At 47.1% G+C, this 18,540-nt stretch overlaps 2 protein-coding genes across 14 annotated transcripts in view, besides 2 other annotated features; one reads left to right on the forward strand and one right to left on the reverse strand.

The window, feature by feature from the left end:
- Positions 1-6,784, forward strand: part of DNAH6 (dynein axonemal heavy chain 6) — a 360,018-nt gene extending 353,234 nt beyond the window's left edge. For all 12 annotated transcript variants that reach the window (XM_011532650.4, XM_011532649.3, XM_006711956.3 and 9 more), the window contains 4 exons: positions 253-325; positions 1,166-1,317; positions 3,056-3,278; positions 6,500-6,784. In XM_011532650.4, coding sequence (XP_011530952.1) covers positions 253-325; positions 1,166-1,317; positions 3,056-3,278; positions 6,500-6,603 — 552 coding nt within the window. In that variant the 3' untranslated portion in view covers positions 6,604-6,784. The remainder of the gene's footprint in view (positions 1-252; positions 326-1,165; positions 1,318-3,055; positions 3,279-6,499) is intronic.
- Positions 4,446-4,495: an enhancer, noted in NCBI's record as "active region_16101". NCBI's record gives its function as "activates an Ori minimal core promoter by ATAC-STARR-seq in GM12878 lymphoblastoid cells {active_cell/tissue: GM12878}" and the evidence as "EXISTENCE:reporter gene assay evidence [ECO:0000049][PMID:35858748]".
- Positions 4,646-4,795: a silencer, noted in NCBI's record as "silent region_11687". NCBI's record gives its function as "represses an Ori minimal core promoter by ATAC-STARR-seq in GM12878 lymphoblastoid cells {active_cell/tissue: GM12878}" and the evidence as "EXISTENCE:reporter gene assay evidence [ECO:0000049][PMID:35858748]".
- Positions 8,861-18,540, reverse strand: part of TRABD2A (TraB domain containing 2A) — a 59,419-nt gene continuing 49,739 nt past the window's right edge. For both annotated transcript variants that reach the window (NM_001080824.3, NM_001277053.2), the window contains 2 exons: positions 11,148-11,399; positions 8,861-9,295 (listed from right to left, as the gene is read on the reverse strand). In NM_001080824.3, the coding sequence (NP_001074293.1) occupies positions 9,112-9,295; positions 11,148-11,399 (436 nt within the window). In that variant the 3' untranslated portion in view covers positions 8,861-9,111. The remainder of the gene's footprint in view (positions 9,296-11,147; positions 11,400-18,540) is intronic.

An 18,540-nucleotide genomic window follows, 5' to 3' on the forward strand; every position in this document is an offset into this window, starting at 1 on the left:
GAGTCCAGATCCCAGATAACTTTGCTGCTGTCTCCCTCTCACATACCCCACAATAACCAGGCTCTGTGTCCACAGTCATCAGGCTGGCAGAACAGGAAGGGGAATGCGGCAGGCAGTGAAATGGGGGTGGTGACTAACTCAGGGCTGCTTTAGATTCTGCCTCCTGAGAAACTCTCCCCAAATAGGACTTTGCTTTAGAAAACAAATTCCATCCCAGAAATAACGTTTATTATGAATATGTTTCTCCTTCAGCTGTGGCTCAAAAGAGGACAGCCTAAGTCCTACTGGATCTCTGGTTTCTTCTTTCCTCAAGGATTTCTAACAGGTACCAGCGCTTTCTAGAAAAACCCCATAGGAATGGCCATGACTTCTCATACACAGGGTTTTGAGGTGCTGGGGAAATGACATGGCTGCTAATGCTCTAGCAATGAGGCTATTGATCATAGGGCAATCTAACAAGGTCGTGCTCTTCCTCACTTGTGGGGGGCAGAGGAAAGATGGCAGAGATAGCAGATGTTCCCCAACAACCTAATCCCTGCCCCTCTCAGGTTACATAAGTGCAGGCACTGCTGCCTCCACAAACACAGAATGTGCCTCAGTTCCCCATATGACCCACGCTCAAGGGCATCAACTGCTGTCCACCTGCTCAGGCCCCAGCTGTGAGCAGCTCCCTTCCCTCTGAGAAATTCTCTTGATGTGCCTCCATCAGCTCTTGGGGAATCTGGCTAGAGAGCCTCAGAGGGGGCTAGAGCCTGTGAGCAACTCAATGCTAATTACCCAAGCCCTTCATCTCTCTCATTCTTAATACCTATTAAACAGCCCATATAAAACAAGCTGGGCAAAATCCTAAAGTTAGCGAGATTGGGCTCTGAAACTGCCTCACTGGTTTGTCTCCCTCATGACAGGGCAATGCACTGAACACTGGCCTTCCCTCCCTTCCCAGCCAGGACCAGAGCTTGTCCATCCCTTGGGCCCTTACCTCCCAACATGACCCGCAGGCTTCCTGACCCTGTGAACTAACTCAGAGGAAGGTATTAAGAGTTGGGTCTTCTCTGTGGTGGGAAGGCTCTCTAATGCCAGGGCAGCCTGGTTTGGATGAAGGGGAATAGTGCCTGGGGAGTAGCAGTGTTGTTTGAACGCAGCTTTCCGATTTTCACAATTACAGGAACTCTTCAAAATCATGCTCGAAAATACAATTTGCCTATAGATGAGCTGAGTTTCAAATACAGCGTAATTCCCACCTATCGGGATCAAGCTGCAGTGATAGAAGCTGCCAAGACAGTGCAATTTGGACAAGAACTGCCCATGGACATGGAGGTATTGTCCACCTGGCTGTTATGGCAAAGCAGCTTCTATCCCACTGTCTTTGAAGATTTCAGACAACCTTCCATGCCCCACTCCCCCACCACCTCCCATTGGCAGGAGCAGGAAGGGCAGGGTAGTAATCACACCTCCAAGATAAGCTCCCCAATTAGCAATGACCAGATGGGAACTGCCTAAACTAGTCTAAGTTATAGAAATATTTTTAAAGCAATATTTTTTTTATTTTTTAGCTACCTTTAGTAACCTTCTTCATCTTACAGAATCAATATAGCAAGAAGTTAAAAGCAAGGGTTTAAAAACGAGAGAAGCCTGAGTTTGAATTCTGACACTACCTTTCACCAGCTGCATGTGCTGGAGCAATTGTTAACATGTCTGCACCTCATATTATTTTAAGATCCTTCTTGTCTTAAGAAGAGAGTGTCAACTTTCCCATGTCAGGAAAACTTGAGGCTCCAGGAAGGTAAAGCAACACCCACATAAAAGCCCCCACCGGAGCTTTCCGGGACCAGCCTGCCCTGGTCCATGCTCAGCACACTCCATCTGCCACAGAGGCTGATTCTGACAGACAGAAGTTTACAGTGACCACCAGGGCTCTGTCCCTCCACCCTAGTTCATACCATGTCTCTGCTTGGGTCATGTGCGCTGAGCCATGACAATGCCTTACAATCTCTGAGATCTGGGGAGACTTCAGACTGTCTAACTGGCCTGTCTCCTGGCCCACCTAGCAAATGTCTGCCACCAACAGACCAGGAGACAGGCCAGTAGTGTGGTGTGAAAGAAACAGCCAGTGTCATGTGACCAGCACATATACTGGTCTAAACACAGGGTATGTGTTTAAACAGCTTTATCTCTGTTGCAAACAGGCAAGACCACTGTCAGCCCATTTGCCGCCTTGGCGCAGCATAGGAAAAGGTGCTCCCTCTGGGTGATGCCCAGTTGGTGGACACCCAGTAGGTAGCAGGATAGTTTTCAGGCAAACCTGCATAAACATATGTGCAGCCCAAAAACAGGAAGTCCCATCCTGCTGCACCCAAGAAACAGAAAGGTTAGGACACCAAAAAGCAAAGACCAGCTAAAAAGAATTTAGTTTACCATCCTTTTATTCACTATAAAATGCACTACATATTATCCAAACAGCTTAGTCCTCTGCCTGCAGACGTGAGGCTCCAATTATCCAAAGACCTCGGGCCAGAAATGGCCAAATCCACTCAGGGTTTGAGGAAGGATGACTCAGATGCCCACAATTGGAAAAAAAAAAAAAAAAGTGTGCACCGGTGGAGACATCCAATCACATCACAGGAATCTGATGGGCAGGGTCTCTCCCTCTCCCTCTTTCTTATTTAATACAAACATTTAAAAGTAAGCATAATTTTTAAAAAAGAGAGAAAGAACAAAAAGGAATTGTCCATGGGCACTCTGCAAATATTATTGCAGATATATAATCTGTCTTCTAGGAGGGCATCCAAATCCTTGAAAAACCTTGCTAAGAATAACAGACGATGATCTCAGTACTCCTCCACCTCCCATGAAAAGGGGAAAAGTCATCACATTATTATTACATTTTTTTGCCTCTCAGAGCCTCAGGATTGACCTCTCTAAAATGTGAATAATAACAGCAATGTATAGAGTGTTTTTTAGAATTACCTGGTGAGGATGTGGGACATAGGAAGTGGCTCACACCTGCTGATCCCTTTTCCCCCATCTCACTTTGAGACTTGTGGGTATCTTTCAGTTGCCCTCTCCTGAGGATGGTGTTCTTGTTCATGGGATGTTCATGGATGCTTCTCGATGGGATGATAAGGAGATGGTGATAGAAGATGCATTGCCCGGACAGATGAATCCAGTGCTGCCTGTGGTGCATTTTGAACCACAACAAAACTATAAGCCAAGCCCAACACTTTACCACTGCCCACTTTATAAAACAGGAGCCCGGGCAGGAACACTCTCAACCACAGGTGAGGATGTTCTTAAGATTAGTTCAAATAATGACCAAATGCAATCTTCAATCAAAGTCCAAACACTAAGCTGTGATTGGCTCAAGATCTCCCTTGGGCCAATAAACTAGACTTAAAATGAAGCCACCTATAACATACAAAATTCGTAAATGTAATTATAAATTCTATTTGTTCTGAGTATAGATTAATATTATAGAATTAATTCTTGCTTCTATTAGAATCCAAGGAGTAGAAAATAGAGTTTAACAAGTAGAGACTTCCACTTTCAAAATGGCGGCCTGAATAGACACGAAAATCTCTTTTTTCTCACTAAATCCATTTTTACTCATCATAAAAGAAATTTTAAAATAAATGAATAGGCCGGGAAAGGTGGCTCACCCCTTTAATCCCAGCACTTTGGGAGACCGAAGCAGATGAATCACCTGAGGTCAGGAGTTCAAGACTAGCCTGACCAACATAGTGAAACCCTGTCTCTACTAAATACAAAAAATTAGCCAGGCATGGTGGCGGGTGCCAGTATTCCCAACTACTTGGGAGGCTGAGGCAGGAGAATCACTTGAACCTGGGAGGCGGAGGTTGCAGTGAGCCAACATTGGGCCACTGCACTCCAGCCTAGGTAACAAGAGCGAAAACTCCATCATAAATAAGTAAATAAACAAATGAATAAATGGACAGCCCTGATGCAAAACTCTGAGTGCATCTGAAACTGAGATACAGCCCTGAAAAAAGAAACCAGACAGAAAGAAAGCCACCTCAACAGATACACCAAGGGACAGCTGAAGAATGAGAAGAGAGAATGAACTGGGAAAATCGCCTTGAATACAGCACAGTGAGAGGGGAAAGAAGTGACCCTGTGGAAGGAGCCAGAAATTGCAACATTTTTCTTGTTTTCTAGGTAACCTGAAAGGAGAAAATAAAGAATGGAGGAGAGAGAATGTTTGAAAAAATAATGGCTGGTAATTTCCCAAAACTAAAGAAACACTTGAATCATTAGATTGTGAGGTCTCACAAAGTGGAAGGAATGATTTTTAGCAACCTACAAGTAATCAAATCTTCAAAGAAACCTAGATATACCAAAGTGATACTTAAGACTGTCAGAGACCAAAAAAAAAAAATGCTCAAAATAACCAAAGAGAAGAGACAATGTATAATATATGCTGGAACTGAAATCCCAGAGAATGAGAATCAGATTGATATCAGTCAACTCCCATTATCCACCGTGCATATAAAAAGATAATGGAGAATCACCTTCAAAGGGTTGAGGGAAAATACCTTTGAACCAGAATTCAAAACACAACCAAACCATCTTTCAAAAGGGAAGTGAATAAAGACAGTTTTGAACATACAGAGGCGCTAAATTAATCATCACTGACCTTCTATTTTGAAAACAATCCAGCTGTCTAGCCAGGTGTGGTATCATGTGTCTGTAGTCCCAGCTACTCAGGAGGCTAAGGTGGGAGGATCACTTGAGCCCAAGAGTTCAACACCAGCCTGGGCAACATAGTGAAACCCCCATCTCAATTAAAAAAAAAAAATCCAACTGTCTTTGTTTGTGTTTGTGTTGCTATAAAGGAATACCTGAGGCTGAGTAACTTTAAAGAAAAGTTTATTTGGCTCATGGTTCTGCAGGCTGGTGCCAGCATCTGCTTCTGGTGAGAGCCTCAGGATGCTTCCACTCATAGCAGAAGACAAAAGGGAGCTGGTGTTTAGAGGTCCCATGGCAAGAGAGGAAGTAGGCAAGATGGGAGGGAGGCGCCAGACTCTTTAACAAGCAGCTCTCGCAAGAACTAATAAAGTGACAGCTCACCCCCCATTCCAAGGAGTATTAATCTACTCATCAGGGATCTGACCCCCATCAGCCAAACACCTTCCATTAAGCCCCATCTCCAACATTGGGGATCAAATTTCAACATGAGATTTGGAGGGATCAAACATCCAAACTATAGAAGCCTGGCATAAAGAATTCTTACAAATCAGTAAGGAGAGGGGACCAACAAACTAACATTATCTGAAACTGTGACAGAAACCCCATCTTGTACAAGGATCAAAAGAAACTCTTTTTCAGCTATTTAAAAGAGGGGTAGTCCTATGTAGTAGTCATCAATGGCCACTAATATCCCAAAAAAGAAAGACAATCAGACATAATGTGCTTCCTGATAGAAGTACCTACTACCTAAGAATTATTCTTGCCATAAAACTCAAACCTGCCAGCCTGGGCAAGATGACGAGACCCCGTCTCTACAAAAAATACAAAAATTAGCAAGGTGTGGTGCACACGCCTGTAGTCCCAGCCGCTTGGGAGACTGAGGCAGGAGGATCGCTTGAGTCCAGTTCAAGTCTGCAGTTAGCCATAATCAAACCACTGCACTCCAGCCTGGGCAAAAGAATGAGACCCTATCTCAAAAAAAAAAAAAAAAAAAAAAAAAAAAAGGGAAAAAAAACCTCAAACCTGAATGTAGTCACGCCTCTAGATCTAACCACCCCTTACAGGAAGAGAGGAATATATTTAAAATCACCACAGCAGTGCTGTCATAAAATCCAGATTCTGGGAAACTTAACAGGACAAACAGTCTGGTTGTTTCAACAAATATATTACAAGGGGGCGGCAAAAGAAGCAGAGGGAAACCTACCAATTGAAAGATTTAAGAGACACATCACTGTTGCAAGATATGAAACTCATTTGAATCCTGGTTATTAAGAAATTATTAGGCTGGGTGCAGTGGCTCATGCCTGTAATCCCAGCACTTTGGGAGGCCAAGGCAAGCGGATCATTTGAGGCCAAGAGTTTGAGACCAGCCTAGCCAACTGGTGAAACCCCGCCTCTACTAAAAATACAAAAATTAGCCAGGCATGGTGGTACGCACCTATAGTCCCAGCTACTCAAGAGGCTGAGGTAGGAGAATCACTTGAACCCAGGAGGGCAGAGGTTGCAGCAAGCTGAGATCACGCCACTACACTTCCAGCCTGGGTGATAGAGTGAGACCCTGTCTCGAAAAAAAAAATTCTATGAAGTCTAAGCTGGACAAGTCCTAAAGAATTATTTGTTCTAAAATCTTCATTTTATAGAGCATAAAACAGACCCATAAAGGACTATTTGTCCAGCATCTTTAGGGGCAAGTCAGGCCTGGAACCCAGATGTCTTGACTCTTTGTAGCCTCTCTCTTTGTATGAGGAAGTTATTCTCTTAAGTAACAACCTTTTTTTCCTATATCCTTAATTAGGACATTCAACCAATTTTGTGGTAACCGTCCTGTTACCCTCCAAGCGGTCCAAAGACTACTGGATTGCCAAGGGATCAGCTTTGCTCTGCCAGCTGAGCGAATGAAAAGGTGCCACCTCAGCCCTGAAAAAGAACCAGGCCAGAGATCTTTCCTAATGGGAGCAAAAGGTTTGAATAATTTATATGTGAGCAAAACGGTGTTAATTCTGATTTGACTTAAACGTATTGTGACTTTTATTTCTCTTATGACCTTAAAATAAAGTGTTTGAGTTCTTTCTGTTGGCAATCCAAGCTCTGCTGTAGAAGCAGTGGGTTCAACAACCCACCTGTTAAGCCTGCTCCCCCACCCTAAGTGAGAGGCAGCTTCCCATCAGTTACTTTCTGGGACCCCCAGGAAGAGTAAGGACTCAGCACTCGCTTCCCCTCACAGGCTCCTTTCCTCTTCACCCTGATATGAAAGGCCCCAGGTGCTTCCATTTCTAGACAAGATGAAGGCTCTCAGAGTCCAGTGCATGGGAGGTTGATGCAGTGAGCACAACTGGTAGAGCAAATGAGCAGGATAAGAAGAAGTTGGCCTATGATGTCAGTTCCCTGTTCTGTGGGGCTTCATCACAATCCTTGGAAGAGCCTGTGCTTTCACAAAAGGGCAGGCCAATCCTGCCCAAGTACGGAGGATTTTCCCCTTCCACTTTAGGATGAATCTGTGTGAAAACTAACCAAGTCCCAGCCAGGTGCATTTGAGCCTCTGCCACCTCAAAAGCAGAGGTTGGTGGGTCAGTTCTCAAATGGAGCAGCCACTGTGACAAACCATCTTGTGTCAGTCCTGCCAATAATGGTCTGCCTGCTTCCTCGGCCATAATGTGACCCAAGAAACAAGGAAATCACCCAGCTAGGATTGAGCCCTTGGTAGGAGCCATACCACCCTCTTACAAAGAATTGGAGGAACAGAGTCAGCCACAGTGATCCTACCCTCCCAGTTTATCTCTGCCTCCCCACTTCATCCCCATACCTATCGAAGTTAAGAGCAGACTCAAGTCGCAGAGAAGCAGGGAACACCACTTTTACCAGAAATCAGTGCACAAATCAGAAACTACTCTTGGTGTTTCAAGCAGAAATAGGTACTAACATGGGCACAGGAATGGCTGCCACTGCAGAAGTCAAAGAGTTGATATCAGGCATCACAGCATCTGTACTCCAAGGTGGGAACCCTGAAGGAAAAATTATGCCAACCTCACAGCTACTTCACGCTGAAGCAGGGGAATAGAGGGGGCTGCAGAGACTGGCTACTGCACAAACTTGTGTCTGCTGAAGCCTGCACATAACCACGCCCCCTGCTCAAGAAAAATTCCCTCTGCCCACTTTTGTTTTCCAAATATCCCATGAGTGTATCTCATTAGGAGAATCGAACATAGCAGCGAGGGGATTTGGGAGTTTTTGCCCGCCTACGCCTGCAATACAGGTGGTGCAGAATGGAACCAAAGTGGTGGACATGGGTCCTGAGTGCCATCACACCGTTTTAGTAAGGCCACTGAGATCTTCTGGGCCCTAGAAATAACTGAACATGAACCCACAAAAGCCTCAGAAAAGGAAGGGAAGCCAGAGCTACAAACCCAGGCAATCAGCCTTACCCTAAGCCAGATTAGGGGACAAATACAACTACTTCTTATTGACCCCACCCAAGTCCTGGACAGACCTTCTACCCAGGGTTTTTATGGGCTATTCAGAGGCCCAGGACCATAAAGGACACTTGCCACAGGTGGGAGACCCTGATCTGGAACCATGGTGGTTAGGGGAGGGAGATCACCTGGGCAGGGTTAAAAGCTCCCATTTCAGATTCAACTGGGGAAGTTCTACTCTTACACATTTTATAGAGTCCCAATAAGATTTGTATTTAGAAAAGACATTGACAATAAACATGTAAATAATAAATAACAAAATGGGGATTGGGGGTAGTTTGAAAACCACTTTCTTGCACAGCACCTCTGACAAAGCCTACCCACGCCCCCCAACCCCCCCACCCAGCCTCCAGCATGTCAGTGAGACACACACATTATACAAAATAAAAGCATCTCTCAGGACACAGGGAGCACCCTATTCACCAGAGCTTGAATAGAGAGGTGCAGACCACAAGTTCCGTGGCCCACTGACTCCCCTGCATCCAGAACCAAGAGTGACACAAAGAAAGAGAGTGGAAAGAAGAAAGGGTCAGGATACAAAGCCAGGGCCTGAAGGGATCAGAGCTGCAGCTGAGAAGTGCAGGGCCTAGGGGGAGGCAGTGGAAGGATTCAGAGGGTGTGAGAGAAGAAGTTGTCTGCCTGATATATATATATATCATGAATAAAAATCTATACAAAAAAAGGTATTTATTTTCATACAACTCATTTATAATTTATTTTCACACAACTCACTATGTTACAAAACTGTACACCTGCCCCCAAAGTTGGATAACCCAAAGTCACATTCCTTGGAAAGAGAAGAATCAACACTGGGCCGCTTTTTCAAGAGCAGTCTCTTCTGGATTGGGCCCAACAAGGCTAGACCAGAATGTGGAGTACAGGAATGGCCATTCTTCAAGTCCGAGGGGTCAGGTTCTTAGCCTGGTGCTTCCAGTCGTTACAGGAGGGGTGTCTCTGTTTGGAAAGCCAGCACCAGCACCCAGAACACAGGAGTCCAGAGAGACAGGCAGGCACTGCTGGCCACCATCTGGCTGTGGTGGGAATGCCCACGGCGAGGGAGCCGCAGTTCAGTGGAGATGTGCCTGTCCAGGACAGGGACCTGGAGTTGCGGGACTATGTCACTAGGAGGCAAAGAGAAAGACAGAGTCTGAAGTCACAGCAGAAACCACTGCACACGCCAAGGCCCCCAAATGCCCACACAGCTTCTCTTCATCTCCCCTCCTTATAGACAGGAATGGGTATTAGTATATTAATAGGCTTCCTATATCTCTGGCCCTCTTTCATGTCTTTGGCCACTGCTACCAGAAAACCAAATGGCAGAGGATATTAAGACCAGCAGACTGGCTAACTGTCCCTGGCTATTTGGCTCTTTATTCAAAGATTAGTGAAAGTCTTCGTATAAGGCCGAATTCAAAGTTTGCTAACATTAGTCTCTGGGCAATCTTAGGCAGGGACCCTCCTCACTGGCCACCACAGAGGCAGAGCCAGACCATGCAGATTCCTCCCTGGGTCTCTGCCTCTCTCATCTGCCCAAGTCCAGGCCTGATGTGCACAGCATATAGGCATACCAGGTCAAGACAGTTCAAGCTGAGGGGCCCATGACCTCAGGCTTACCCAGATCTTTCAACTCAGCTGAGGTATAAAGTGCCCAACCCCGTAGTCACCAATGGCCTTGTTTGAAAAAGTACTAAACAGGTCAATTTATTCCTCTGTCAATGGAGGATGGTTCATGAGTCACCCTGGGACATGAACACCATCAGAAGCTGTCCCCATTCTCCAGGTCCCATCTGGCTGCCAGCTTCTGTCCATTTAAAATGCAGATCACACAGCATATCACATATCTGCTTCAAACCTTTCAATGGCTCCCTACTTCCCTCCGTGTTTACCTCTCTGGACACATCTCACCCCATTACTCCTTCACTTCCCAGGCTCCAGCCAGAATTACTTTATCTCAGCTTCTTTAACGCAATCGTTCCCTCCAACCAGGCTTTCACATTGTTCCCTCTGCCTTCAACTCTTCTCCTTCCCTATTCAGTTGTTCACTCACTCACTCATTCATTCTACATTTATTAAGCACCTGTGCAGGCCCTGAATCCCTGCGTCTACTGATCCAGACTCAGAAGCTCTATTCACAAGGTTCCACTTTGGCTTCTACTCAGTATAAGCCAAAAGGATGCTTCCTCAAGGGAAGACTTTCCTGACCTCTGACCCTAAGTAGTAACCTCCAACACACACACACATATGCATGCACCACAAACACACACACCCACAGCAGCTTACACTTCCACTGCAGATTATCTATTCAAAAATCCATCTTCTTCACCAGACTGCAAGTTCCATGAAGGCAGGGCCCGTGTCTGGTTGGCCCCACACACATAGCATCCGACACAACAGCAGGCACAAAGGAGGGACTCAATAAGGCTGAGATTAATTTAACTGGATTCCTGCTCCCAGCCTCTCTGGGGTAGTTCTTCCAGAAGCCTTGTGCCCTGCAGACTCAGGCTCGCCTATCCACCTCTGGTCTACTCCCCAGCCATCTCTGAGACTACATTTGGTGTAGGGTCACGACCCTTCCCTTACAATGTGGGGGTTAAACATGCCCATTCCTACCGAGCTGCTTCCAGCTCTGCAAGTCTATGACATTCTCCCTAAGTCTGCCATGGAGAAAGATATGAAATATCTAGTTCTTTGCAACCTTTCCAGATGCCTTCCACTTTTAACAGACTCATCCTACCCCGAAACTTGTTCTTTAACAAGCATAAACATGTTGCCCTTGCCCTGGCTTGAAGCAACTATCTTAAATCTGGATTCGCTTCTGTCACAGTGGACAGAAAAAGGGTGCCTGGGGTCATGAGGAAAGGGAAAGGTTGCTCCATGAGGGGGGCTCCCATTGCAACCAGTGTGAGGGGCATTCCTGGGTCCGCTCACTAGGGTAAAGGTGGATGCCAACCCGACCCAGCCTACTCGCCTGACCTCTCCTCCAGGCGGACCCACAGATCGCTGAATTGCCGGAGTCGCGGCCTCCGCTGTGACCGCCTCCGCTTCTTCCGGAACCTCTGTTCGGCCTCACTGGGCGTGTCGGCACTTCCAGGCCGGGACACAAGGGGAGGCAGCGTTGAGTGCCCTGAGGATACGGCTTCTGGTGCCGGTACTTCCAGGGTAGGGACTTTTGGAGCAAAGATGGTGGACAGAGTGGGCCGTGTGGAGGTCTTTTTACTCTTCCCTCTGTACGCAAGTGGAAGGAGAAGGTATTTGGAGGAGGGTCACACAGCATGGCGCCCTCCCCAGCTCTCTTACACCTCAGGGTTTCAAGACAAAGGCAGATAACCTGAAAGTTCAAGCTGGCCAGGAAGGGCAGAAATTACCCAGTTCTTGAAATTACCTTGGGAATTTATCTCTTTGACGCCTTTTTTTTCCCCTCAGATATCCTCACCCTACCTTCTCCAAATCCCCTAGTCCTGGGGAGAAAGATCCAAGATTTTTAAACTATTACATGTACAGTAATTACTGTAGTTTTCCAACAATGAACAGGTCAGCACTGTCTAGAAAGACACTGACAATTATAGCTTTTTTTTTTTTTTTTTTTTTTGAGATCGGGTTTCCCTCAGTAGCTCAGGCTGGAGTGCAGTGGCCCAATCATAGCTCACTGTAGCCTCAAACTCCTGGGCTCAAGTGATTCTCCCACCTCAGCCTCCCAAATACAAGCAAATGTCACGAATCTGACTAGTGAACAGTAAAGCTTTTAAAGACAGATGGAAAATGTTTAAATGCCATTTGCTTAAAACCACTGAAGTAGCTCTTAACCCTCTTAACACTTTCTGAACCCTCATGAGGGCTTTATTCAGGAAGAGGCTCTCAGGGCTGTCTTCTAACCACTTAATTGCAGATTTGTTCTTAAATCATCTTTCCCAAAGAGAGATTTTCACAACTAATGGGAAACTCAGACTGACTTCTAGTTTTCCCCTAAAGGTGACTATAGTCACCAAATACTTCTTTGAGTGAAGAAATAAGCTACTATAAGGACCAAGTTTCTTCCAACAACAGAACTTTTGTCAAGGGTTTGGTGAAGGGGATGGGGGAGCAGAAAGAGAAGAATTCTACTAGATGTCAATCCCATTGGTCTCCTGATGTAGGTAGGTAGTGAGAGTCCTGAAACTCACATCTGCCTGAGGAAGGGGAGCAGTGGATGCGCCATGTCTAGGGCTTTCCTCGTCCAATGATGTAGGTGCCACTGACCAGCACATGTAAGAACTCAATTACTTAGCCTTGAGGAACCATCTACCTTACCAGAGTGGGTCCCAGTTCTGAGCCACGACATGGCAGAACCTGAGAAGTCAGTTAGTATTAATGGCCGTGTGTGAGGAAGGGAGGAGGTATACAAGAAGGAAAGCAAAAAAGGGAAAGACTTATATTGGGCAAAAAAGTTAAAAGAAGGGAATTCCTAAAATGGCAAAGGATTAAAAAATGCCCCTACTCTGAACCTGAGACTAAGGACCCCAGAAACATAAATTCATAGCTAGAAGGTTCCTGGAGGACAGGGCTTAATATATTATTACTGTCTCCTGAGCTCAGCGCAATGCCTGGTACATAACTGTGAAGCCACTTAAATGAACCCTTTCATTGTTACAACAAAGAAACTAGAGCCCAGAAAGGGAATGTGCCCCCATCATGGCTCTCTAGGATTCAGGTGGCCTCCTAGGGCAGGGGTCCCCAGCCCCCAAGCCATGGACTAGCACTAGTCTGTGGCCTGTTAGGAACTGGGCCACACAGCAGGATGTGAGTGGCAGGCAAGCAACCATATTACCACCTGAGCTCCACATCCTCTCAGATTAGCAGGGACATCAGATTCTCATAGGATCGCAAACCCTGTTGTGAATTGTGTGTGCCAGGGATCTCGGTTGCACACTCCTTATGAGAATCTAACTAATACCTGATGATATGAGGTGGAACAGTTTCATCCCAAAACCATCCCCCCCTCCCCGATCCATGGAAAAATTTTCTTCTACAAAATTAGTCCCTGGTGCCAAAAACGTTGAGGGCCACTGTCTTAGAGGGTTCAAGAGCAGATGATCAGGTAGCTCCATGCCCATCAAGCCCTCTGCCCATGGCCGAAACTATGTCTTGGCCTCCATATGACCCAAACAGGTCCTGGTACATGGTAGGCACTCAAGAAAAGTCTGTTGCTTTGATTTAGTGAGGAACATGGTCTCTAACTCACTAGGGCTGTGTTCTATGGTTTGAAACAGTGGATCCTCACAGTGAGACAAATCATAGCTTTGTTTCTGTTCAACTCACAACAAACAAAGACCTCACCCCAGAAACTCCAGGTAGCCAAGGCCAGGGCTTAAGAGCCAAGTTAATAGCCCTGGGTGGGGGTTGGAGAGTAGGGATCAGGAAGGAATTAGCTTTACTCTTCCTGGTTTTTATCTCCCTTATATTTGTGAGTTAAGGAGTCCTGAGGAATCATAACACCTACTTTACAATTAAGGAAACTGAAGACCAGGGGGAGGAAACTGACCTGCACAAGGTTCCAAGAAGGATTCTATGCCATCTTTTGTTTTGTTTTGTTTTGAGATGGAGTCTTGCTCTGTCCCCCAGGATGGAGTGCAGTGGCACAATCTTGGCTCACTGCAACCTCCGCCTCCCAGGTTTAAGAAATTCTCTGCCTCAGCCTCCCAAATAGCTGGGATTACAGGCACATGCCACCACGCCCAGCTAGTTTTTTTGTATTTTTAGTAGAGACGAGGTTTCACCATCTTGGCCAGGCTGGTCTTGAGCTCCTGACCCCATGATCCACCCACCTTGGCCTCCCAAAGTGCTGGGATTATAGGCGTGAGCCACCGTGCCTGGCCAATTCTTTGCCATTTTTAAGTAACATTCATTGTTGAGATTTTTTTCAGGTCATAAAGCTAATCCATTCTCATTGTAGAAAATATAGAGAGTATAAATTAGTGTCACTGTAATCTCCAGGGAGATCCTACAGACAAATGCTCACATGGGCTCAGACAGGGGTTTAAGGGTCCCTAGGTCAATAGAGGTGGCTGCTCTTCTGTCTCAAATAGAAAATCCCAGCTGCTGAACACACCCAATCCATCATAGAGCCTCTGGGCTGGATCCCATCACAGGCTCAAGATCTAGATTACCATGTTTTGACCCACCTGGATTCTCACAGTTTAGCTAAACTTCTACCCACAAAAGCTAAGCCCATGGTCATTTTGGCTACAATATAGGGCTACCCCCTTGTGCTGATAGCTTATTTGCCCCCTACCTGCATTTCACGCAGCCTCCTCACTTCATGGAAGTCTCCAAGAAAGAAACACACTGGTTGACAAGGAAAAGACCCCAGGCTTGGAGCCTTAGACAAGATAATTGACCTTTCTGAGCCTCTGCCCCTTGCATAAAATTAACCTATCCTACCTCATTGCTGTGAGGATTAAAACAGCCCAAGCACCATGTTTCACACAGTGCTGAGCACACAGTAGATCCTTACTTCAAGTGCATCCCCCTTTCTCCCAGTCTTCTGAGAATGAATGAAGCTGTATAAACCCTAGCAGGGCTGACCAGAACCTTAGAGCACCCCGCTGTGTAACCAAATGGACATCTGCCAGATCCCCAAAGATGTCCATGACCTAGCCCCTGGAAGCTGTGAACACATTACCTTACACGGTAAAAGGAACTTTGCAGGTGTATTAAGTTAAGGACCTTAAGTTGAGGAGAGTAGCCCAGGTTATCCAGGGGTGCCCAATCCAATCACACGGGCCCTTAAAAGCAGAGAACCCGTCTGTGGTCAGAGGGGGATATGACTATGGAAGAATGGTTATAGAGATGCAATATTGCTGGCTTTGAAGATGGAAGGCTCCACAAGTCAAGGAATGTGGGCAGCCTCTAGAAGCTGGGAAGAAAACAAATTATCTAGACCCTCCAGAAGGGAATGCAGCCCTGCCCACACCTTAGTTTCAGCCAGTGAGACCTGTGTCAGACTTCTGATCTCCAGAACTATACAATAATGAATCTGTGTTGTTCTAAGCTATTGAGTTTGTGATAATTTGTTATAGCAGCAATAGAAAACTAACATAGTATCCATTACCCCAGGGGGAGAAGGGAGGAACTGGCTAAGCCCTCTGCAGATTAGCCCAACAGGAACCCCATCTCTTTCTCTTCTCTGTTCTAAGAACAGCAACCTCACCTTCAGGAGCATTTCCTGTGTTTTCCAGCCTGCTGACAGGTGGAGAGTGGCAGCTGCTAGTTGCCCTCCCCACACACCAACATGCACACCCATCTCTGTCTCCCCAATACTGGCCTACCCCAAGACTAAGGGAGCTGGCAGGGCCTTAAGTAAGCTAAATCACCACTTAACAGCCCTCATGTCCCCAGCCACACCAGCCTGCCCTGGATTCAAGTTCCACATGACCAGAATCATCCCTTAAGGACTACCAGATGGCTGCCGAGGAGGGGAAGAAGGAAACAGGTATCCCTCCACTGCCCTGGTCCTCCTTGCCAGCCCCTCTTTGTGGGCATTCTCCCCAACCCACTTCCCTGGGCCCTTAGCCTCCCGGGACCCTGTCCCTTCTTCCTGAACAGGAGCTCCTTTGGAGACCTCATCCTCCCTCATGGCTTCACCTGGGACCACTGTATGCACGTTCACCCCTAAAACCTCTCAGGTCCCCCACTGGCTGAATAAATGAATGCATGTGAGCAGTACCAGCAATGATATTAACACATAATCAATCCTATTTGAGATCCCATCATGTGCCAGATGCCAGGATAGGTACTCCTGGAAATCCAATTTTGAAAATTAGATCCTTGTCCGGAAGGCTCTAGAAGAAAGAGAGAGCTCTTGCACAAACCATAGGTTCCTTGGGGTCATGCACAGGATGAACCCAGGCTGGAGCAATGGAGGAAGATGTGGCAATTGTGCTGGATCTCACAGATTCTGATAGAGAGAACTGGGGGTAGTGTGGGTAGGGAAAGGATCTCTGGCAGAGGAAACTGCACGAACAAAGACAGAGGCTAGGAAGTAAAAGGTGGGAGAAGAAAGGGTAGAAAGAAAAGGTTTGGGAGGTGGAGGGGTCTGTGCTATTTCCTGGTCCTGGTTAATAGTGTGGCCTTTCACAGTTTCTTCGTTAGTAAATGAGAAGGAACACTTCCCTTGCGGGCTGGTTTTGAGAATTAACAGAGAGCCCATATAAACCTGGCTACCACCTGATGATCCACCAATAAATGCTCTTTTTCTCCCCGGGGAAGTGAGAACACTTGTTCTCAGCCTTCACTGGGCATCGGAATCTCCTAGAGAGCTTCTAAAAAGACGGATTCCTGACCTTCCTTTCCCCAAGGGCAGGTGTCAGGGTTAGAGGCAGAATTAGGGAGCCTGGGAACAACCAGCAACACACACACACACACACACACACACACACACACACCACACACACCACACATACCACACACACTACACACACACAAAACACACGTACCACACACACCACACATACCACAATGCACACCCCACACATACACAACTCACACATCAGACATGCACCACACATACCCCACACACATACACAATACACACACCACACATACCATACACACCACACGTACCACACTGTACACACACAACACACGTACCACACACACCACAACACAACGCAAACCCCACACGTACACAACACACACATCAGACATGCAGCACACATACCCCACACACATACACACAACACACACACCAAACATGCACCACACACATGCACAGTACCCACACATGCACACACCAGCCATGTTCCACACACATCCACACTACACCACACACACCCCACATACCACACACACCCCTCACACACAGGTACCAAACAACACACATACCAGACATGCACCACACACACACCATACACATGCACACTACACACACACACATACACCCCACACATATTCCACACTAGATACACACCACACAAACCCTACACACAAACATCACACACAACACACCCCTCACACACACCACACACCAGACACACACAAACACAAACATTACATACTCCACACACATTACACCACACACACGTACACACTCCCCAGGTAGGGCCCTCTCCAGCACCCTAAGGACAGTGCGTTGAACCCCAGGCCAGTCAGCCCAGCGGGAAGAGCTGAGAAGGGACCAGAGGCCAGTGAGGGAGGAAAGACCCACAGTCCTGCAGGGCGCAGAGAACCCCTAAGGGCTGGCTCCTCCAGACCTGCAGGAGAACAGGAAGGAGAGAGGCAGGAGACGTGAGCCTGCAACAGAGCTGACTCAGGCAGGGGCGGGATCCTCCCGGTCAAGGGGAGGAGAGGAGGGCTCCTCAGAAGGGGGAAGTAGCGTCAGTAAAGGAGAGGCGGGGACGGGATGGAGGCTCTTCTGAAGCAAGCAGCAGATCCATGCTGGAAGGGTAGGGTCTGAGTGCCAAGACCTCCGCGTGAAGACAATGACCTTGAAAAAGAACAACATGAAACCACGGAGGGTTTGAATATAGGACACTGGAAAGAATAGTCCCACAGAAGGGCGAAGAGTGAACCAGAGGGAGAAGGGCCTGGAAGGGGGCGGTGGCCATGGAAATGGAGAAGGACAAATCCCAGCGAGTCTTTAGTGGAGGAAGCCAAAAGCCTGGTGGAGAAGGAAAATGAGCAGTCTCACATCAGCGCTTCTGTAAACTAGAAAGTGCTCTGTGAAGGGCGGTCAGTATTGACATACTGAATACAGGGCATGAAGACAGGTGGGGATGAGAGAAGTCCAGGATGTATCCAGGATTTCCCGCCTGAAGGGAGACTGGCAGGAGCCTCTGGGGTGAGGGGGAACAGGGAGACAAGGTGCAGTGAAGGGGGGCCTTCTGAGGAGAAAGAGGGCAGCTGGAGATGGGCGGCCTTCGGGCAGACACAACTGCTGGATCCTCTGCCAGGGGATGGGCATTTGCATCCTGGAACTCTCTCGCTACAGCTGAGACCTCTGCCAGGAGAGGGGGCTGCTGACCACAGATCGGGAGGCAGTGGGGGCCAGAGGAATGGAGGGGATATTAGGGGCTGATGTGTGCCCCCCACATTCACATGTTGAAGCCCCATCCCCAGTACCTCAGAATGTGACCATTTGGAGTTAGGGCCTTTAAAGAGGTGATTCAGTTCACATGAGGGCCCTAGTCCAATAGGACTAGTGTCCTTAGTAGAAGAGAGGCCAGGGATGCTCGCTTACAGAAAAAAAAAATGCCATGTGCCGGCAGGAAGAGAAGGCGGCCATCTACAAGCCAAACAAAGAGGTCCCAAGAGAAACCAGTCCCGTTGACACCTTGATCTGGGACTTTCAGCCTCCAGAACTGTGAGAAATGCATTTCTGTTGATTAAATCA

The sequence above is a fragment of the Homo sapiens genome, chromosome 2 (genome assembly GCF_000001405.40).
Source record: "Homo sapiens chromosome 2, GRCh38.p14 Primary Assembly".
NCBI lineage: Eukaryota > Metazoa > Chordata > Mammalia > Primates > Hominidae > Homo > Homo sapiens.